This window comes from Homo sapiens, chromosome 5 (genome assembly GCF_000001405.40).
Source record: "Homo sapiens chromosome 5, GRCh38.p14 Primary Assembly".
In the NCBI taxonomy this organism is placed as follows: domain Eukaryota; kingdom Metazoa; phylum Chordata; class Mammalia; order Primates; family Hominidae; genus Homo; species Homo sapiens.
Window position 1 is genome coordinate 157497178 of NC_000005.10, and position 23110 is coordinate 157520287.

Genomic DNA, 23110 nt, shown 5'->3' on the forward strand with positions numbered 1-23110 from the left:
GAACAGAATTTTCCATTACCATGATTTCACAGCACTTTTTACATGACCTCATTAGCCCAAACCACCTTCAGCCTTCTCATGTGAATACTGACAGAATTTCAAGCTGTTTTCACAAATGCTAACTCACTTTCTCTTCATAGAAGTCTTAAGAAAGAGGCAAGAAATAATACCTATACAACAATTTACAGTTTCCTACATGCTTTAGTAATAGCAGCTACTTTTATGCAGCTCCCACTTAAGTGTCCAGTACAAATATGACTTCACTTAGTTTTCATGACAGTCCTGTGTGATATAATTATCCCTTCTGCAGATGATAAAATCTGTAGGCTTAAAGAGGTTAGACGATGCATCCAAAGACTCATAGTAAGTGGCAGAGGAGCCAGGCCCACTAATACACACACACACACACACACACACACACAAAACTAGCATTCACATAACATCTGTGAGTTTACAAAGCACCTCAGCAATAATATATCCCCACTATGGGGCCAGGCACTGGGCTGAGTGTGTGACATACACGTATCTCGTGGGATCCTCACAGCTTCCATGGGATAGATACTGCTATTTGTCCCACTTTGCAGATCAATAAGTTGATCAACAGCACACCTGGGGCAAAGGGCGAAGAGTCTTACAGCCTCCCTGGGTAGTCGGTGTTACTAATACTCTTTCCATTTTACAGATAAAGAACCTAGGCTCAGAGAGTTAATAGGTTGCCCCAAATCACACAACCAGGGTTTGAAGTCAGTCTTGGACACCAGGGAATCCTTTCTGAGGCTCAAACGGAAATTCTTGTGTGGAGTGAAGGGGTCCACTCCATGCTTATGCTTAGGCCTTGGGCCAAGACTGGAAGAACTTGACCCAGCACAGCCTCCCAGGGGGACGCACAGCCAAACCAGATGCCGTGCACATTCCGAGAGCCAGGCAAGGAAACCAGTGACTGAGAACAGACCCCCTCCCCTGCTCCTGGGCCACTCCTCCCACCCACAGGGTCCTTCCAGGAGAAGGCAGACAGGCTTCTCCACCGGCCACTCTCAGGCCAAGACTGGGCCAGCTGAGCAGCTTGCTGAGAGTGGATGCCCAGTCGCAAGTGTGGGCATGGGTGGTGTATGCAGGAGGAGGCTGCAGGACACACCTCTGCCATCCAGAGGCAGGTGGAGGCAAAGAGGACCTGCCCCACAGCCAGCCTGCCTGGGCACACATCCCAGCTCCTTAACCGGCAGCGGGGCCTTGGGCACCTGCTGTGTAACCTGTGTGTGCTCACTCACCCACAACTCAGGATAATAACCCACTAATGGGTGATTAAACGTGAGTTAGAACTAAGTATGTGAATGGTATCTGGCCCCTAACGAGCACTCAGCAAGTGCTAGGCAGAAGCCCAGGCCCACAGTTCCTGCCTAAAATGATGGGGCCAGATGGGGTTCAGGCTTTTCAGATTTAGAAAGCAGATATTGTAATACATAGGTCCATATGTACATGTGTGTACATATATAATTACACATGTGTGTATGTATATATATATATATATATATATGGATATGGATAATTACATATGTCCGCATATATAACTACATATGTATATTACATAACCCCCCAGCAAGGCTGGGGATAACACCTTCTGATCAAACATATTAATATTTCTGTAATGCAATATAAATATTCACTTTAGGAGTGATTTTTTTTTAAAAAGACTATAATTCATCTCATGTCAATTCAGGTCAAGTTTTGCCACCAAATGTGTTTACATTTTTTTTCAGCTTTTAGAACTCCCTTAATTTCAGAATTGTGGAAGAGAGATTGTGGTTCTACGGTAACACTAGCAGCAACAGACAATTTATCTCTCACATCAATATTAGGAATGTGGGCACCAGAGTCAGGGAAAGCTGGATTCAGTCCCTTCCTGACTGCCTGATTCCAGATAAACCTCTTATCCCCTATAAGCTCTAGTTTCCACATCTTAAAATAAGGATAGTCACATATATTTTATGGGGTTTTTGTGAGGAGAGAATGAGATAACGTACATAAAATTCCCAGCACAGTGCCTGGCATCTACTAAGAGGTCCATTAATGTCAATACAAATGATGATAATTATTATTGTTTATGAGCTCAATAAAATCAAGCCCACTCTCTCTGGATACTTCTTTAAAAAAGAAAAAAAAAAGTACCATTTCCAAAGAAGCGCCACCCTCCTCTGGGATGATCTGAATTCAGTGAGGCCCAGTATAGGAATAGTAAATTTTATTCAAGGCACCTTTTCCGCTCTGTGTTTCTGAAACTCTGTTGCCATCACAGCCCCAGGATGGAGGCAAATCCCCAGCCATCCACCCCAGCAGAGCAGTCCTGTGGTCCCACTGTCAGGCCAGGGCCCAAGGCGTGGAGAAAAGGGCCACTTACCTTACACTGGTGGCAGCAGGAGCCGTGAGCACACTCCGCCCCCGGCCTCAGGGTACAATTAGAGGCATTGCAGCAGGGGTTGTTACATTCCTGGGGAGGCAGTGGGGTGGGTGTGAGTGGGGGAGGGCCTTCACCACCCCCAACATTTTCCCCACCCTTGCCCACACACCCCTGGAACCCCAGCTCTCTAGCAACTATCTCTTTTTTTTTTTTTTTTTTTTTGAGAGGGAGTCTCGATCTGTCACCCAGGCTGGAGTGCAGTGATGCAATATCTCGGGTCACTGCAACCTCTGCTTCCTGGTTTCAAGCGATTCTCCCGCCTCAGCCTCCGAAGTAACTCAGACCACAGGCACACCCCACCACACCTGGCTAATTTTTGTATTTTTAATAGCGATTGGGTTTCGTCATGTTGGCCAGGCTGGTTTCAAACTTCTGACCTCAAGTGATCCACCTGCCTCGGCCTCCCAAAGTGCTGGGATTATAGGCATGAACCACCGCACCTGGCCTGGAAACTTTTGACCTCAAAAATCATGTGACAGCTTCGTCACTAAGCTAATGTGTACTTGTCACAAGAACCATATATATGCACAATCATTAGTAACATGACTTGGACACAGCTACATCTTTTTTTGAGACAGTCTGCAACCTTCTCCTCCTAGGTTCAAGCAATTCTCATGCCACAGCCTCCCAAGTAGCTGGGACCACAGGCACACACCACCATGCCCCGCTAGGACACAGCTACATTTTGAGTATGAATATTTTTCAAGGCATTTTCTACACACATACATATATATTTATACTTACTTTACAAAATCATAGTATCCACAGTGTTTTTTTACTTAATATAACATGCGTATTTCTCCCTGTAACCATGTAGTCTTCTAAAATGGACTTTTTAGCAGAGTATATGGAAATTTTATGTTTTGTTTTTCTAATCCCCAGTAGAACATCCAGACACCCTGTCTTTCATGGGTGCCCTCCTGCCCCCAACCCTCCTAGGCTTTCTTATCTCATGAAAAGGGGCTGCCGGTGCAAGAGTCTGCTGGAACAACCTCTCCAAACAGTTTATGTCAACTCCTGGGTCTGTTTCCTTAGATTTTTTTCTCCATCTGCTTCTCTTCCTAAGCCCTTCCTGGCCTGGACCTTTCTGGAACAGAAGATCTCCATGGGTTCCTTGCTCTCCCCCAGCCTGAGATTTTTAAAAGATTATGAGGCGTTCCAGTGACCCTGAGCGTCCTCATCACACTCTTACAGTATTAACAGGCCAATCCATCAGCCATTGATGAAAAGTGTACGGGGCTCCACAGATCTCTCCACCACAGCCTTATGAGGCAGCCTTGACCCCATTCCACAGACAGGGATGCTGTGGCTCAGGCAAGTCCAGTAGCTGGCCGAGGGACACACCTGCTGAATTCAAGTCAGGTCTGCCTGAGGCCTACCTCATGTTTATCAACCTTATACCCCTAACTGTCCAGGGCTCTAGCATATTGGAGAGCCACATCCCATCCCCTGACCACAGACACCTGTCCACCTGTCTCCCCTAAGAGAAGGAATAGAACACTTTCCTCCCATTATTCTCCCACCATGTTGGGCTCCAGGAAGACCTGTATTCCTGCCTTCCTAATGTACCATATTTCTTCCCACGAAGGCACAGGCTCCCCTTCCACCTGAAATGTGCCTTCCCTCCTGCGTGCCTCACTAACTCCTAATGCAGCCTTCAGATATGGGCTCCAGGTCACCTCCCACACAAGCAAGGAGGTTCCCCCTCACATTATATATGTTCAGAGCACTGTGTCATTTGTCTTCCTAGCACTTGCCATGGACTGTACATATATTCTTTTGCAATTATTTCAATATGTGTTTCTCCCACTAGACTATCAGCTCCCCAAGGACAGGAACTATGTCATTTTTGCCACTCATCCTAACCCTAGGACCAGACACAGTAGCCCACACTCAGTGTGCCTGTTGAATGAGCAACTGCTCAGAACCTAAGCCAACTGGCCATGCCCACTCTCAGGCCATTCCTCAACCCCAGTGGCCCTCCATGTTCATACCACTCCCTCCTTTCTGATGGGTCTGTGTTGATCTCTCTGGGCTCATGGTGGTGGGGGTGGCATCCTTGACTAGTTCTTGTTTTATTCTGAAAGTGACATACTGGCATTAAAAAAAGAAAAATCACATCACAGAGGTCACAGGCAGGGTGCGGTGGCTCACGCCTGCAATCCTAGTGCTTTGGGAGGCCGAGGTGGGTGGATCATCTGAGGTCAGGAGTTTGAGAACAGCCTGGTCAATGTAGCAAAACTCTGTCTCTGCTAAAAGTACAAAAAAAAAAAAATTAACCAGGTGTGGTGGCACACACCTGTATTCCCAGCTACTCAGGAGGCTGAGGCAGGAGAATCGCTTGAACCCTGGAGGTGGAGGTTGCAGTGAGTGGAGATCTTGTCACTGCACTCCAGCCTGGGCAACAGAGTGAGAGAGAGAAGGCCATAAAATCAGATTTTTTTTTCCATTTATACAGAACCTCAGTCTCACCCCCATAATTTACTGTTACTTGTTATCTACCCCAAATTGTTATGCATGTATAAACATACATATTTTCAGCCTTCAAAAAATAGAGACGAAACAATCCAGTTCTGCTTTCTGCAGAAACCACATGCATTTGTTAAAAATGACCGGGCTCTGCCGTGTACCCTCCACACTCACTGTGAAGATCAGAAGGAAGGAGAGAGTTTACACATAAACAGTTCCTCCTAGCAGCCCTTTTGGGACTTGACAGCACTTCCTACATCCCCTTTCCATCATCTCTCCTCCAGCCTAAACAGCATGAGCTTGTTATTTTAAGCATCCTCATAAGGCCCCTGTTCAAGCCCATATATCTGGCTGTGTGGCCTCCAGAATAAATTCCGTGCAGCTGGAGGGCAAGCAGGCATGTGCAGCTCCACTGAGGAAGACAGAGTCAACATGCCACGTGATCGTGGTTTCTGGTTAGACCAGACACTCATAAGAAGAACTGATCCTGGACACTAGCGATGCTGGCCACAAACTAGCAGAGGCGGCACAAACACTCCAACTGGAAGGCTTCTTCATATCTGATTTTTCATGGGGTATTGGACAGTTATATGTAGGAAACACCTGTGACTAAGAAATTTTCAATTGTGTTCTCTTTGACCTTGAGTTTTGAAACCAATGCAAATTCTTCCCCTCCCACTAGCACCATTGTGACCCCTCACCTCTTCTTCTCCACAGTCACACTCTTCCCCATCTTCCAGATACCCGTTCCCACACCTCCGGCCTCCATACAACATCCTGGTGTCTGGCATGTTGGAGAGACACATTCCACCACCTGACTGCAGATACCTGTCCAGCTCCCTCCTGTTGCATCCATTGAACACTTTGGGAAAGGGGTGCCTGGCAGAGGACAAGGCTGGAATTAGTGGGGAGTTTGAGCATCTAGCAGTCAGGCAGGTGTCACTCGTGCTGTCACTCCTGCTACCCGTGGGGCTGACTCCACCTGGGTTCAGACCCCCATTGTCTCACACACATACATTCTGGCCCCTTAGAACATTTACCAATACATTAATTTAGAATTTTTTCATCCCTTGAGTTCGTGTCCTTAGTAGGGACATGGATGAAGCTGGAAACCATCATTCTCAGCAAACTATTGCAAGGACAGAAAACCAAACACCGGATGTTCTCACTCATAGGTGGGAACTGAACAATGAGAACACTTGGACACAGGAAGGGGAACATAACACACCGGGGCCTGTTGTAGGGTAGCAAGAGGCGGGGAGGGATAGCATTAGGAGATATACCTAATGTAAATGACGAGTTAATGGGTGCAGCACACCAACATGGCACATGTATACATATGTAACAAACCTGCACGTTGTGCACATGTATCCTAGAACTTAAAGTATAAAAAAAAAAAAAAGAATTCTTTCATCCTTAGTGATGAGATATTAACCACCCCATAACATTCTATTTTTCTTAGTCGGCATGCAGAAAGCATTTGAGAATCAGGAGTAGCAATTTCTGCCCATTGCATGAGGGGGCTGCGATAAGTAAAGGGTTGTGAGTGTGTTACAAGAGGTCTCCTGAGACTTAGCACTGAAGAAAACACCAGCCAACCTAAACTTTTCCTGAAGCTGATATCAGGTGAATATTCTCTTGTGACAGAGGACCAGGCCAAAAAAAGGCCAAGATCATAAGTTTTATTTCATTTTGGGCCAGTGATCTCATTGCTGTTCTAAGGATGCAGAGGGCATTCCAAACTCAACCAGCCAACTCATAAACGCATGCTCTTTATCACAGGAGTATGGAAGGTCCTGGGTCCCACCATTGGTGAAAAGGACAAATAGTACAGCCATCTGGGTCTACAAAAGGAGAGTTATCCTGCTCCCAATTCTCTAAACCAATTAAAGGTTAAACCCTCCAAGAAACTGGAGCTTTTCCTTCAGTGGGAAGGTATGCTCCAAGGAATTTGTTACTAATAATTGTTAAACTATCCATATTTGTGAATAATTTAAAAATGAAAGAGAGTAGTAATCAATATAACTCTCAATCATTTGTCTTCAGATACGCTTTTTAGATTGAGAGAGAAAGGGGTGAGCTTAACCATGAGCTTATAGGGATCCAGGCATGACTGTGAAGCTGTATCCTGCCTCATTCTTTTTTTGTTGTTGTGGTTTTGAGACGGAGTCTTGCTCCGTTGCCCAGGCTGAAGGCTGGAGTGCAGTGGCACAATCTTGGCTCACTGCAACCTTTGCCTCTCGAGTTCAAGTGATTTTCCCGCCTCAGCCTCCCTAGTAGCTGGGACCACAGGCGTGCACCACCACGCCCAGCTAATTTTTGTATTTTTAGCAGAGACGGGGTTTCACCATGTTGGCCAGGCTGGTCTCGAACTCCTGACCTCAGGTGAACTGCCCACCTCAGCCTCACAAAGTGCTGGAATTACAGTCGTGAGCCACCGCACCCAGCCAACATCATCCTTTCCATGTCACAGCTGAGAAATAATTTTAAAAAATTGACACCAGAGCTCTAAGAAAGCTGCACTGTTTCTTGGAGACATTGAAACACCATTCTCTAAGAATCATAAACAGGCCCTAATGGTGTGGGGTGAAGGAACACAAGGTCCCAACGTGATGCCTTCCAAAGAGCCTGGAAGAACCCAATGCTTTGTGCTGCCTGAGTTCAGATGCTAGAAGACAAGTCCTTTGAAGAAACTCCCTAATTCTCTTCAGAGACTCTGGTTTTAAAAATCCCTCATGTCCAGCGCGGTGGCTCACACCTGTAATCCCAGCACTTTGGGAGGCCGAGGCGGGTGGATCACGAGGTCAGGAGATCGAGACCATCCTGGCTAACATGGTGAAACCCTGTCTCTACTAAAAATACAAAAAATTAGCCGGGCATGGTGGCAGGCGCCTGTATTCCCAGCTACTCGGGAGGCTAAGGCAGAAGAATGGTGTGAACCTGGGAGGCAGAGCTTGCAGTGAGCGGAGATCACACCACTGCACTCCAGCCTGGGCGACAGAGCAAGACTCTGTCTCAAAAAAAAAAAAAAAAAAAAATTTCCTCATGACCACAGGGAGATGCAGCTGCCTCACCCTGTTCCTCATGGGTAATGTGGCCTGCAAACTCCCTGAGAAGTCACTGTGGGGTGTGTGGATGGCCCTCTTCTTCAACTTGTTCTGTTACATCGGAGCTTTCAGTGAAGCCTGGAATTGAAACAGCACTGATCCAACTCTCTTGGGATAGAAGAATTAAGGGCTGTGGCTATGATCAAAATGTGTCCTCATAAAAAATTCATGAAATAAAAAAGACACATATGGCCAAGCCAATTTTATAACTCAACACCTTAAAACAGAAATTAAATAAATCTAGGGTTACACCAGCACCAAACCTCCTGCTGGAAAGTTAAGTTCTTGCTGCACATTTGCCTTGGTCTTCTCTCAATTTCTTTGTTGTAAAAACTACATTTTTTGGCCCCATCAGAAGTTTAAGGGAGTCTCAGTGGGGCCAGCTGGGAGGAACCCCTGGGTCACACTGTCCAGGTGTGCCCGCCCTCCTCCCCATCCTCCCTCTTGCTGTTTGACTCACCCAGTGGCAGCTGCCATGATGCACCCACCATCAGCCGCACTGGCCGAGCAGCAATCTGCAGAATCATGGGTCATGCCAAAGTTGTGGCCCATCTCGTGGGCCATGGTGGCAGCCACGCCAATGGCATTCTCGGAGTGGTCCTGCTCAGAAGACAGAGTTGAGGTCAAGGTCAAGGGGACAGATCTGCCTCTGCCCCCCATCCCTGCCTTATCCTTAGCCAAGTCTTGCAGGTCTCCACCAATTCCACTGTCACTGAGCATACAGACTCTCCATATGTGCCTCTGACAGCAAGGCTGAATCTGCTGTCACTAGGAGGAAATCAAATGTTTAAAAGTCCATGTTTCCTGAGTTCTCAAAGGTTGCAGACCACAACTGACCTATGGATGAACTTCCAGACCAATAAATGCTTTCAGAATAAATAAAAGAGGAAGATTTTTCCCCATTCTTCTTCTGAACATATATATTTCTCCAGACATAAGGAAATCAACATAGAAAACACGACCTTGATTCAAACATAGGGTGTACTTGGCTTAGTGTTTCCTGAGAAAACCACACAAGACAGATACACTCCAGGCACAGCACTTGGTGTACTGTCTGATGATGCAAAAGCTAAAGAAATCAAGAGGAAAAAAACCCAGCAGGAAAGAAGCAGCAGAAAGAGATTTACTAAACATGGAAGTGTGTTTCCTGCATTATTTCATTTAATTCCCATTCCTATCCTATGATTATCAACTGTAAAACTATGCGTTTTTTACAGCTGAGAACACTCATTAACTCACCCAAAATCACACAGCTGTTCTTTGAACCCAACAGGCTCAGACCCTAGAGCCTGTGGTTTTGGCCATTATGCTACTTTGTCGATAAATACAGAATGGATAGAGGGACAGACAAATAGATGAAGACAAGTCTTCCTTGATATGCACTTCACAGGTTAGAAATGAAGAGTCAAAACAAATAGTCTCATGAAGTCAGAGTGAATTTCAAAAGAAGGCAGTAATTTCCTAACCATGACTTTGAGACAGGTTCTTGTTTCTTAATGACATATATAACAGCACACGACCTGAAATAAAAATACTTTTAACCTCTACTCTCTTACTATTTTCCAGCCCCTGGTTTGGAACATATGAGATCTAGTGATGTATGCATGTAATCTCTTCAGGGTTCCTGAGCTTGAAGATACGGAATGAACTATAATAAATGAAAATTCACCCTTCAGTACCTCCATCTCTTAGAACTTAATGACTTCATTTTAAACAATTGCCCTTCCTGATGTCAAAGCTTTTTCTGCTACAATAATAAATATCAACTTATTATTCAAAAGATGACCTCTGGTCTTGAAAGGCAGCTCAGCGCCTTCTGCAGCGCACACACACGGGCTGAGACTCACCATGTTGACTCCTCCAGACTGGTACACAGAGCACATGGCCATGAGGGGGGCCAGGCCGATGGTGGTGCCGTGGAAGGACATGCCCCTGCAGGAGGCAAGGAGAGACGGTGACCGGGGACGAGACTAAGAGGGCTGTTCCAATGTGCCTGGGAGTAAGTGGCCATCACGGGGTTCCCTGGACCCGCTGACTTTCCCAGGTCATTCCCAAGGGGAGAGGCCCTTGTAACCAGGCCAACTGGACAACTTCCAGCTCACCACACCTCTCACTTCCTCTCACCTACTCCCTCATGACTCCAGAGGAACACAAAGAGAGAGAGAAAGGTCGTTTATCTCCCACAATATACCCATAGCTGATTCCTTGGAAGGAAATGGGCAGGGTTTGCAAAGCTGCATTGCATTCCTGCTGCACAGGAAAAGGTCAGAAGGAGAGGTTGATGGAAGGGTGGCACAGATTCTGATGCTGAAGTGAATCATGCCCACTTCCACCAGCTGCCGGGATCCAATACCTTACCCCTGGCTCTGTGGTGTGAGTCCCACAGGGTAGGGGTGGGGGCATCGGGGCAGCAGCTGTGGGGCCGATGATGCTTCATTCCCACATACTCAGGGGCCAAGGAAACAGCTGTGCCCCATCAGGAGCCTCACAAAGTGCAGTTGGATGCAAGAATGAGCTGTTTCTGCCTTTGTTTTGCAATGGGATCCTAATCTGCCAGCAGCAAGCTTCATTTTCCCCAGTTGAATACATCCCTCTTTCAGTTATATACATCCAGGGTAGAGGAGAAGAAAAAAAAAACTACCAGTGTTTCTGTGCATGCCACAAACATGTAATGTATTTAAAGAACCTATATGGAAATTCATTATGTGGTACTTATCTCCACGTTTGTCTTCTCATCTAGACCATGATATCTTTGACAGCAAGACTATCTTAACTATTTTGGGATCGTAGAACCTAGCACAGAATCTCACACATAGTGGGTATACAATAAATGTTTGCTGAATTACAGGCAGACTTATCTTCAGAGAAACAATCTGCAAAGAAATATGCAAAATCTATGCAAATTGATATGAAGTCCTACTAGTTATTTTCTACATGTTCCAAAGTTCAGGCCAAAAGTTCTAATAGCCAAAGACTCTTCCTAGGCAAATGTAGTAACTATTTACAGCCCAGGTTTTGGGGACAGTTATTTTTCCCAGTTTCTTTAAAAGGATAAGCCAAAGTTTAAATGATTATTAACTCAGCTATATTTAGGGAACAGAAGAAAAATGGTTTGAAGGCCAGGCATGTGTGGCTCACGCCTATAATCCCAGCATTTTGGGAGGCCGAGGCGGGCGGATCACTTGAGGCCAGGAGTTCAAGACCAGCTTGGCCAACATGGCAAAATCCTGTCTCTATTAAAAATACAAAAATTGGCCGGGCATGGTGGTGCATGCCTGCTACTTGGGAGGCTGAGGCACTAGAATTGCTTGAGCCCAGGAGGCAGAGGTTGCAGTGAGCCGAGATCACGCTACTGCACTCCAGCCTAGGTGACAGACGGAAACTGTCTCAAAAAAGAAAAAAAAAAAAGAAAAGAAGACAAATGGTTTTATTATCTATATGCCTTTTGTTGTAACTGCCTCAAAATACCTTCAGAAGTCAACACTAATAAATACCAAATAATCACCCTGGGGCACTGTCACATGTGACCCCCATCACTGTCTCTCCCAGGCTGATGAAAATCTAGCACAATCCCTCCTCAATGTCTCCCTCCAACCAAACCCTCAGTTCCTGCACTGTCTAACACTTGGACTCTCTCAAGCACTCAGCCTTGTGCCCCTTGGGAACCAAGTGAAGGACAACACAAGGAGCCCGCTCTCCTGTGCCTGTGTTGGGAGATCAGCTCATGTATTAGAACAAAGCGCCAGGAAGATTGAGATGAGTCTCTTAGAAAGTCTAAGACCTGACCAACAGTCAGTCCCTTCCCAAATACATACACAATTATTTCAGATGCTCAATGGAATATGTGTAAGTCTAATTTTCCCATTAGACTGTAAACATTTCTTAGGAATAATGTGACTCAGGCTTTTAAACATTTTCTGGGGTATGCTGGGTACAGAGCGCATGTTTAGGAAATGCCTGATTCTCTGGACCAGGGAGTCAGAATGGCCTTGTACAACCAACACTCGCCATGGGGCAAACTCTGAGCATGTGCTGGGTGGGCAGAGGCTTTGCAGCCAAGGACAACACAACATATGGAAAAAGGCTATTTACGTGATTAATTGGGCGTTGTCATGGTACTTCTGGGCAAGCAGCTTGCGCCTCCAACTGAGAAAGGACCAGAGGGTAGAATATGGATTCTCTGAAACTTCACACATGTTCCCGTGGGTCCACACTTCCAAGCCCACGAGAGCAATCCGGATGTTCAAGGATCGGTAAAACTGAAAGGACACAGAAAAACCACAGTATCTGTCAATACCACCTGGGATTTAAAAGCCCCTTCCTTTCATTCTGGTGGAGCTTGAGATTAAAAAGAAAAAAACTAAAACTAAAAAATAAAAATAAATTTAAAAAAAAAGCTCCTTCCTAGCCTAAGAACTCAGAGCACAGATACCAGATTTCTCTTCTGCCCATGGCTCCAACAGAAGGAGGCAACTGGTGTTACTGACATTTTTTAGAAAGGGAAAATGAGATCCTGAGAGAGAGCAGGACATTCTGGTGGCAGAACTGCAGTGACTTTGTTTAGAGATGACTGAGATAGGACATAAAATTGCTTTCAGATATGAATAGGTCTATCATGTGGAAAAAGTTGTTCTGCATGATGTTCAAGTAGGGCTTAGGTCAATAGGTAAAACAGACAGGAACATAAATTTCATTTTAAAATAGGAAGAAGGCTTTCAAACAAAGCTGGTCATGAGATAGCTCAGAGCTGAGCTTTGCTGTCTTCTGTAATCAGTGCCCTTGGCCAGGCTGTCTGGTACAATTTTTTTCTCCCAATTCCTTATGTGAGCCTTATCTTTCTTATGGGTATCTAAAAAGTTCTCTTGTATATAGATTTTTTAAAGCCACTTCATTGAGGTATAATTTGCATACCATAATACCCATCTATTTTAAGTGTACAGCTCAATGCTTTTTGGTAAATTTACCAAGTTTTAAAGCCATCACCAGCCAAGCGTGGTGGCTCACACCTGTAATCCCAGCACTCTGGGAGGCTAAGGTGGATGGATCACATGAGGTCGGGAGTTCGAGACCAGCCTGACCAACATGGAGAAACCCCATCTCTACTAAAAATACAAAATTAGCTGGGCGTGGTGGCGCATGCCTGTAATCCCAGCTACTCAGGAGGCTGAGGCAGGAGAATCACTTGAACCCGGGAGGCAGGGGTTGCGGTGAGCCAAGATTGTGCCATTGCACTCCAGCCTGGGCCACGGGCGAAACTCCGTCTCAAAAAAAAATAAAAATAAAATAAAGCCATCGCCATCATCCAGTGTTAGAATATTTTCATCACATCGGTGAGATCCCTCATGTCTATTGATAGTCATTTCCCATTCTCACCCTCAGCCCAGGCAACCGTGCATCTACTTTGTTTCTATTCTGCCTTTTCTGGACATTTGTTTTACAATATGTGGTTTTGTGTGTCTGGCTTCTCTCACTTACCATAATGTTTTTGAGATGTATCCATGTGTTAGAGTGTATTCGTTTATGATTTCTCTTTATTGCTGAATAATATTCTTTCGTATGGATATACCAAATTATATTAATACATGGATATTTTATTATAAAATGTCTCCCACTCATTTTGGAAGTAAATGAGTATAAATGACATAAAAGTGCACAGATATGCTTACTCTTCAAATTTTCTTCCCCATCCCTGGATAGTCTCAGGTTTTGTCAAGGATGGAATAAGCAGGTTGCAAGCAATAGACTACAGACGTTCTTGGTAATCTTCAGGGTTTTGTCCAAACCAGAGATCCTGAAATTCTATACCCAAGATCTGACTCGACCTCCTCGAGGCTAGAGCTACATCTAATCTTTATGATCTGGCATTTTTCACCTCATACAAATATAAGCAGGAGGAGGGTTTTCTTTAAAGCTAAACCACTGGAAGGTGTGGATACAACGGGTTCTTTGATGGGTCCACCCTACAAATACTGAGCCAGTGACTTAATAAAAAGCCCCATGTATGGAGAGGACATAATGAGCAGGAGATACCATCTTTATCCAAAATTGGTAGGTACTGCCCCAGCTGAAAAGAATAATCATAGCACCAACATTTTTCCACCACTTTTTACGTACTAGGCACTGAGGCTTAGAGAAGTTAAGGAACTTGCCCAAAGTCTCAGCAAGAAGATGGTGGAGCCAGGATGAAGGCCCAAATTACAACCTCAGAGCCTATTTGTGACCCTTTACTACTTCAGTGCTGCAGTACCTACACATCCAGATAATCCACTCGCTCCAAGAAACGCTGGTCAAGATGGGCTCCAGATTCAGTGAAATATCAGTTTATTTCAACAGAAATTTTGATTTTTCTGTTTTGTGCCAGTTCAATCGTTACAGAAAATAAAAGGTTCAGATTCCAATTTGAATTTGCTTTACTAGGGAGCTTTTGAAGGAAGTAAACTTGGCTTTTTTTCACAGTTACAGAAAAACATTTTGGATTGGGTTCATGACTCAGCACGAGTCCAATTCATTCCAGTTTTAGTTCAACAATAGTTCAGTTCAAGTAGCTAGGTCAGCAAGCTCCAGAGAAGTGGGCGTGGCTTCCCTTACCCGCCAGGAGTGACTAACACCAGCCGCGAGGAGAGAGCCAAGACGGCTGCACAGGATGCATGGGCCACCCAGGCTTAGGGCTTTCAGTAAGGACTGGGGCTTGCTGGTGCCTCTCTTCTCCCTTCACTTGTCACCAGCGCCCTTGGTTCCATCACATACCCCACAGAGGGGATACCCAGCCAAGTCCGAACCTGCCAGGTCTCCAAACAATAGATGTCACATGGGGGAAAGCAGAGTCAGCCTCCCATATTCTCCCCAGGGAAACAAGCTTCCCTTGTTTTCCCAGATGTCAAATGTTTGGGTTGTAGGATTATTTAAATGTTATTCTTGAGTGAGTCAGGAGCTAGAGGGAGGACTGGACTGTGTCCCTAGAGTCTGTCCTTCCAGGAAATGCCAGTGTTTGACTTTCACCTGTCACTGACCACTGACCTTTGTTTCCAGAGCCATCTAGGGCAGAAAAAAACCATGGGCATGGAAACTGCCATCTGATGACTTCAGAACTAATACATTTGCCTATTAATCCCTAAAACATATTTTAAGTGATCTCCTATATTCTCTAGTGTTTAGGAAAAAATGATTTTCCCTTTAGACCTGGAATTCATGAATCCCTAGCAGGCCCAAAGTTAAGCTTCATCAATGTTATGAGTATTCTAAAATTGTGCAATAAACGTTACCAGATTCTCAAAGAGACTTTTGATCCCAAACACATGAAAAACTACTTTTAAAAACTATATACTACTAGCCTACCAAGAGGCTACTGTCATTCTAGGTTACCTATTCTGCATTTTGTACTATAACAAATATCTTCTTTCATATACACAATGTACTTCCAAGTCCCAGACCAGCCCGTTCTAGTAAAATTCAAAAATGTAGGTATTTCCGAAGAGCATCTTGTAAAAGGTCCTGACCTAGGAAAGTTAACCACTGCACATCCTTCCTAAGAGACAAGACATAATTTTAGGATAACTTTACAGATGGAGACTTTATAGATTAGCCCCAAGCAACCCACTTCTCAGACAATCCGCTTCTCAAGCAACCCACTTCTCAAACAGCCCACTTCTCAACTTTTAAGGCTGTGTGTCTTTCCCACCCTGACCTACCTCAATTCCCTCCTAAGTCAGAGAATCCCTGGGCTTTGTATCTGGAAGGAACCTTAAAGAACCTTAAAGGATTCTTAAACTGGGCTCTTCCATGCCCCAAGCTGCTCGGGAGCCACTGCAGGGGTAAGAGGAAGGGGTCAGAAGGACAGTGTTCTGGGTCCTCACCCCAGCTCCCACTTAGAGCAGTCTGTTTTCATCTAACTTTTATAGTAGATATTGGCATAAGATTTCATTTTTTAAAATTCCACCAGGAAAATAAAAATAACAAAAAAAAACCACACATTGATTTACGACAGCCTTTCTATTTATAAGCTGAAAACAGAACAAAAGAAAAAAAAATGCAACACAAAGAAAATGAGTTACTTGCCTAAGGGTACGTAGTTCAGGGCTCTGTCATGACCGCCCTGGGCCTCTATGGCACTGCTCATTCCCTTTCAGAAGATGGCTGGGGCAGCCAATCCAGCAGAAGGCAGCTCCAGTGCCCTTGGAAGTGCTGGCACCTGGCACCTTTCCCACAAAGTACACACCTGGTCTCACCTTATCAACATAGTTGGCGATCTCTATGAGCTTGTGTTTGGTGGCGTCCTGGTCTCGTCGATTCTTCTGAAACTAAATGGGACAAGCAGAACCATGTGAGATCCCAGAACCTCTCACAGGATGCTTCCTGCGCCCCATTACTTGTCTTTGAATTTGCTCTTATTTTCTTCTGTCTTCTATGAGCCATCATTTTTATGCAATTGTCTTCCCCACCACAGTAAGAGCTTTGGAGGGTAGGACCTGTCAACATCCATCTTCATATCCACAGCTACTAGCTCAGCGCAGCACACACAGTAGGCATGCAATAATTATGCACGGAGTAGAATTGCCTTCCTCTAACCCTTGAAGCACATCTTATTCTCCTGTCCTTCGAATTACATGGCCTCTGGCAAACTCCCACTGGGGCTTAGGAGGACTGATCCAATCCTCACCGTGGTCATCACCCCAACATGAAGCCACCATTACACAGATCTCACGAGGCTTCCCTACATGTGGTCAATCAACAATCATCGAATTGCTGCTGAATGCCTGCTATGGGCAAGGCATTGTGCTTAGCACTATGTAGGACACAAAGAAGTGTGAGATCTTGGTTCTAGCCTAGAGGAGCTTCAATTAAAACAGAGAGGGCCAGAAATAACTGTGGCAGATGCTGAGTGACAGACCCTGTACTTAAGGAGTATAGAACTGAAATGGTTGAGAAAACCTGCCGGGAAAACGTGCACAGAAATAACCACAGTGGGAGGTCATGTGAATGACATGAGTGCCAACGAGGAGGACCATAAGACACTGGCAAATAGGCTTCATCTTGCACACCACTCAGATCCACTGGCAGTGCCTTCTACAGTGAGAAGAATGAGAAGAATTATGAGACTGCATCGATTCAATCACATTTCTTTCTTTTTTTTTTTTTTTTGAGACAGAGTCTCGCTCTTGTTGCCCAGGCTGGAGTGCAGTGGCGTGATCTCGGCTTACAACCTCCGCCTCCCGGGTTCAAGCGATTCTCCTGCCTCAGCCTCCTGAGTAGCTGGGATTACAGGTGCTCGCCACCATGGCCAGCTAATTTTTGTATTTTTAGTAATGATGGGGTTTCACCATGTTGGTCAGGCTTGTCTCAAACTCCTGACCTCAAGTGATCCATCTGCCTTGGCCTCCCAAAGTGCTGGGATTACAGGCGTGAGCCACTGCGCCTGGCCGTAATCAGACATTTCTAACCAAGCACAGGAAAGAAAGCTGTGTTCCATTAGAAATATCTGCCATGGGTACCAGAAAGAGGACATTTTAGTATGAATACCTCCTATTTACCATTCCTGCCTCAAAAAGATAGATCTCTCTGAGCTGCAATGATGAAGGAAAGCTTCACAGTGTAAAGAGAAAACCTGCTACAACTGCAAATTACATTTAAAAATGATGGGCATGTCCTGTACACTGCCATTGTTACACAGAATCTGGGTCCTCTCTAATTTATCTTAGGTACCCACTATACATGTTATTTTGATTCAAAATCTTCACGTCCTTCCTCCACCCCATCCCATGAGAATATCTAAGCAAGAAAGAACAAGAACAGCCAAGTAAAACAACCTGGGGTATTTGTTTGGCCAGAGGTGTGTACCAGCCCTGATACAGGGAAGAAATCCACCATTTCCCTTTCACCACAGCTTGTGGACATTCTTAGGCTTCCTTAAAACTGCCACTCACCAGAAGAGAATCTGTTACCACTGCTTTCTAGAGTTAGATTCAGTGTGACACTGTAACTTAGACCTTTCCAAGGTGTTAATCCAGGAGTTTCTCATTATAGAGGCCTCCTGTTTCTAAATTGGTCTCTCGGCACAGACAGCGTTGCAGCATTTCCATTCATTTAGTAATATTTATTAGAACATCAGGGCCAGATTTCATTGTCTTTCAAAAAAATATTAATCTTCTCTTCAAAGAACTGCCCAATGAGACCACCATAATTTAAGGAGCGAATTCTGTTGTCCAGAGTATTCTGAAGCAGGAGTCAGCAAATCTTTTCTGCAAAGGCCGGATTAGGCTTTGCGGCCCCATAGTCTCTGCTACAACTCTTCAACTGTGCAGTGGTGGCTCAGAATAATACAGACACCTGTATATATAATACAGAAGCCTGGATAATACAGAAACCAATGGGCCTGGCTGTGTTCCAGTAAAATTTTGTTTGCAAAAACACAGGATAGGCTGGATGTGACCATGGGGTATAGTTTGCAGACCCCTGATGTAAAGAAAGGACTGTCTCAAACTTACATTTTCTAGGGTGACACAGTGAGTACCACATGCAGCACCATCCTTTCCCAGCCACTCTGCACTGTGCCAGCATCATGGAAGTCCTTTACAGGCCTGTGTTTACAGTTATCCTGTCTACTCCTACAACAGCCCACCTTACTCTTTATCCCCACCTGGATTCCGTTCCACCTGGGGAATGAATAAACTGAGAACCACCCTAGAAGCTCCCACCTAGGCCCAGGGAGCGAGGAGCTGCCTGCTCATTTTTACTGCTGACAACTCTCTCTCTAGGCAGCAGCAGGGTCTTGCTCTCCCTATCTGTGTCTCCACTTTCTGCTCTGCATTCAGAGCCCCAAGGCTCTGTCTCTGCAGCAGGTTATAAATCATGGTAAAGCAGCCCTCCCCTTTCCTGCCTTCCCATCCTCTCAGATTAATTAATTAATTGTCAAGAATATATTTCTGTCTGCAGAGGATGGAGACAGGTGGAGAGGGGATGATTCGTGAGCCTGTGAACCCAGCCTGGCCTGTTACACACCCCCACCCCAGTCCCTCAAATGAATCATTCAAAGCCTTCAGCGGAGGGGTGTCCAGGACTGAGAAATGAGCACGTTCCCTTATCCACCACAGCTGCATGAATCACAGCCCTGTTGGGAACCCAGGGCTGTTGCTGAGACACTCTCCTTTGTAAGAGAAAGATGGCTCTAGCTGACACCAGAGTCCTGGAGGCACCTTGAGTGGACACTTTTTCTCTGGAGGTGTGCTGTGACTCTGGAGGTCAGGAGATAGAAGATGCCTAATCCCTGCCTCCCACCATGCTTCCCACTTCTCCAGCTGCTGGAGATTCACACCCAGTGGGTTTGAAAGCCTGCACAGAGATTCCTCTGAGAACAATGCAAGGCCAAAGGGGAGAAACACCCCACCTTTAAACAGAGCAGCTGGGCTCTATATGCTTAACTACTGGGGTTCCCAGGAACTTCCATGTAACCAAAGGATTCTGTAGCTGAAAAAAATGACTCAAGACCATTGTATCAGATGATCACAGATGCAGAACTTAAGTGGAAAAATGTCCCAGAGTCAGAGGAGCTCAGTTTTCTTCCACCAGTCCTCCCACTACGGGCAGTCAGGCAGGGCAGGCCAGAGTCAGTTATCTCCTCCCACGACTATGGAGCCTCAGCTGGCTTTTAAACCAGCTTTGGATTTTGCTCCCCACACTATTCCCCCATCCTATAGACACACTAGTCTTTGGAGAGGAAACAGAAAACATAGAACACACACACACACACACACACACACAAACAGCTGTTGGAAAAACCAATATCAACATCAGTTAAAATAAATCTAAACGCTTTTCAAAGCAGAGCACAATGTTCCCTCGGCCCGGAATGCCCTTCACCTCCACTCCTCTGCCCAGTTAACTCCTCCTTGTCTTTTAAGACAGCTTCAAGGGCCACCTCCTTCTGCTGCTAACATCCAGTGACTAACACTCAAAGACCTTCTGGCCTGCAGCCTAGTGCTCTCCCCACCACCAGGCCCTGCTGCCAGGACACATGCTTTGGAAATGTGACTAGGTACAGCTGCCTTAGAATGAGCTCTTTGGGAAGATGGTAGCTAAACTATGTGGATGGGATACAGACAGACTGGAGTTGTGATGGGCTCTATCCTCAGGAGAGACCAAGGCCAGTGTCTGCCCTGCTCGAACACAGCGAGCGCTCAGCTCATAATGACATCCAATGCACAGAAGATGCACTTAGTACTTATATGATGGAGTCACTAAACAAAGTGAGAATTGGAGGTAACAGCTGGCTAATTTAGGCAAATATGGGCTCTGGGGCCTAAACTCACTCTTTAGGTGTCTGCTTCAATGTCAGGGAAGCTTTCCCTAATTCCCAAAACCATGTTGAATCCCCCATTATCTGCACTTTCATCCCTCCTAATGGTCCATCTTAGTGCTTATCACACTTTGGACCTACAGGTTTGTGTGCTGTTACTGCAAACTCTGCGATGCCTGGGGAGGGTCTGTCTTCTTGAGATCTATATATCCAGGTGCTTGGCACATAATAGAAAATCAAGAGATCACTGATGAATAAATGAAATACATGATGAGCCAGGTGAGGGTTCCTCAAATTCTTAGAACCTGTCTGATTTGAGGAACATGGAGTTAAAGGCTGAACTGCTATGCCTTTAGGTCAGTGGTTCTCAAACTTGACTGTGCAACCCAATCGCCCAGAGGTCTTGTTAAAACATGGATTTCTGGACCCCACCCTGACAGTCTGGGATTCAGGAGGTCGGGGGCAGGGCCCGAGAATTTGCATCTTACACAAGGGTGCTGCTGATGCTGGTGCTCTGGGGACCACATTTTGGGGACCATGGCTTTAGGTCATCATTTGGCATCAACATGATTATAAAAATGGACCCACACATGGGCAAGAATACAGTTTTCAGTCGGATGACTGGGAATATATTTATCATCTTTGCAAAAAAAAAAGTTTTAGAATTTCCATAGACAATTCCGGGTTCCTCAGAATAAACACCAGAATCTAAAGGTCTTCAGACCCAGTACAAGAAATGTTAATCAGACAACTGTCTTGATTTTCTATGTGACTGATGTAACAAGCCAGGAGAGGCTTAGCTGTGTGTGGAGGTGGGGGAGGAAGGGGCGGGGGGAGTTGGGGGAGTTCCCCCCAACTATGTTTAAAATGGCAAAATGAGCCTTTGGTCAGATTTTTTTTCTTTGAGACGGAGTTTCGCTCTTGTTGCTCAGGCTGGAGTGCAGTGGCATGATCTCAGCTCACTGCAACCTCCGCCTCCCAGGTTCAGGAAATGCTACTGCCACAGCCTCCCAAGTAGCTGGGATTACAGGCATGTGCCACCATGCCCAGCTAATTTTGTATTTTTAGTAGAGATGGGGTTTCACCATGTTGGCCAGGCTGGTCTCAAACTCCTGACCTCAGGTGATCCACCCGCCTTGCCCACCCAAAGTGCTGGGATTACAGGCGTGAGCCGCCGCGCCCAGCCTTTGGTGAGATTTAAGGTCAAAATCATAGATGAACTGGAGAAAGATGAATGGGCAACATTTCCCCAAAGCAGTCTGGAGCCTGGAATGGAAGCTATCAAGAGAGCAGTTTTTCTGCAAGACCCATTGCCTCCCCCTTACCTCTAAATAATCAGCCACGAGGTAAAGCTCCACATACTTCATGGAGTTTAAATCTTCCCTTTTCATCTAAGAAAGAGAAACAGATCAGCGCTGTAGAAATAGTGGACTTGGCCTCATTTTTAAAAAACTGCTAAGAAACAGAGCTGCTGGATAAGCAGCAGCTACCTCCGTAATGATTTTGTCATTCGGCACTAGAGATGTTCTTGGCTGTGGTGGCCATCACTCATATAACACCTTCCACTGCCATTTGGTTATTGCTGGAGGCTGCTCTGGGACCCTGGATTCAGTCCTTTATTCTCAGAAAATACTGAGATGAGCTGATGAGCACAGGCAGGACAGAGGCCAGCATATGAGAGGGAGTGTGCTAACCACCACGTTCCCACAGAACCTCGAAACCTCGAAACACCATGCCATTTTCAGTATGAATCAATATGAGGACTGTGTGCATATGGTGTAGTGTCTACTCCAATAGGGAAAGCATACTTTTTTTCCCCACTTTTTAATTTTTATTTATTTTTCTGAGGCAGGGTCTCGCTCTGTCACCCAGGCTTCCGGGTTCAAGTGATTCCCGTGCCCCAGCCTCCCAAAGTAGTTGGGACTACAGGCACCCAGCCATCATGCCCAGCTAATTTTTGTACTTTTAGTAGAGATGGGGTTTCGCCATGTTGCCCAGGCTGGACTCAAACTCCTGGCCTCAAGCAATCTGCCTGCTTTAGCCTCCCAAAGTGCTGGGATTATAGGCATGAGCCATGGCGCCCAGCCTTCTTTTCACTTTTTAAGCTTTCTGAAGTCAGCATCTGAGTGTTTTAAAGGTAGTAGTGTTTTCCCCCAAAAGCAGTTATTCTATGATGAGGGTATTTCACACTCAACAATGACAGAATAAAAGAAAAACACTATTTCCTTTTTCTTAGGCATCACCTTCAATTTAGAAATACTCCTGGATTCAAAGTAAGCAACCTCAGAGGGGACAAGCCTGTCCCCAGGTTGATTTCTGCACTGAGAGCCTCAAAACTCACCCTGCGAGGTCGCTTCTTGGTCTGTTGTGTAAACTGAAGAGCCCAGTCCCTGGTGGTGGGCTTGGAGTGCTCGAACCCACAGTTTCCCGGGGGCGGCTTGAGATGTTCAGATCTGTAAATAAGGTGTTGGCCCTTGCTGTCAGGGAGGGGCTCGATGACGTAGCTGAGGTTGCTGCTCACCGTAATCAGTCCTCTGTTGAGAGGAGAAATAGAATCTCTGGTCAAAGATTATGGTTCTGAAAAAGTCCCTTGTGTAGGTCTTAGTTTCTCCATATGCAAAATGACATAGTGGGTTTTGATCATTGGTTCTTAACCTAATTATGGGGCCATGTACCCCTTCGTGAGACTCTGATGCAAGCTCACACTTCCTCTCTAGAGGAATGCACTTATACATAAAAAGTGGTGCATGAGCTCAGGGCACTTGGACCTCCACCCCAACCCCCACCCCA

The 23110-nt window shown here is 45.6% G+C and overlaps 1 protein-coding gene across 3 annotated transcripts in view, besides 5 other annotated features; it reads right to left on the bottom strand.

Moving 5' to 3' along the window:
* The window catches only part of ADAM19 (ADAM metallopeptidase domain 19), a 98472-nt gene that overhangs the window by 19874 nt on the left and 55488 nt on the right, over positions 1-23110 (bottom strand). For 2 of the 3 annotated variants that reach the window (NM_033274.5, XM_047417858.1), the window contains exons 6-13: positions 22662-22854; positions 21646-21711; positions 16257-16328; positions 12124-12290; positions 9879-9963; positions 8492-8631; positions 5626-5803; positions 2396-2485 (exon numbers count right to left, since the gene is read on the bottom strand). In NM_033274.5, the coding sequence (NP_150377.1) occupies positions 2396-2485; positions 5626-5803; positions 8492-8631; positions 9879-9963; positions 12124-12290; positions 16257-16328; positions 21646-21711; positions 22662-22854 (991 nt within the window). The other variant, XM_047417859.1, reaches the window with a different exon arrangement.
* Positions 2824-2873: an enhancer, noted in NCBI's record as "active region_23512". NCBI's record gives its function as "activates an Ori minimal core promoter by ATAC-STARR-seq in GM12878 lymphoblastoid cells {active_cell/tissue: GM12878}" and the evidence as "EXISTENCE:reporter gene assay evidence [ECO:0000049][PMID:35858748]".
* Positions 2934-2993: an enhancer, noted in NCBI's record as "active region_23513". NCBI's record gives its function as "activates an Ori minimal core promoter by ATAC-STARR-seq in GM12878 lymphoblastoid cells {active_cell/tissue: GM12878}" and the evidence as "EXISTENCE:reporter gene assay evidence [ECO:0000049][PMID:35858748]".
* Positions 5186-5295: an enhancer, noted in NCBI's record as "active region_23514". NCBI's record gives its function as "activates an Ori minimal core promoter by ATAC-STARR-seq in GM12878 lymphoblastoid cells {active_cell/tissue: GM12878}" and the evidence as "EXISTENCE:reporter gene assay evidence [ECO:0000049][PMID:35858748]".
* Positions 5476-5535: an enhancer, noted in NCBI's record as "active region_23515". NCBI's record gives its function as "activates an Ori minimal core promoter by ATAC-STARR-seq in GM12878 lymphoblastoid cells {active_cell/tissue: GM12878}" and the evidence as "EXISTENCE:reporter gene assay evidence [ECO:0000049][PMID:35858748]".
* Positions 5986-6045: an enhancer, noted in NCBI's record as "active region_23516". NCBI's record gives its function as "activates an Ori minimal core promoter by ATAC-STARR-seq in GM12878 lymphoblastoid cells {active_cell/tissue: GM12878}" and the evidence as "EXISTENCE:reporter gene assay evidence [ECO:0000049][PMID:35858748]".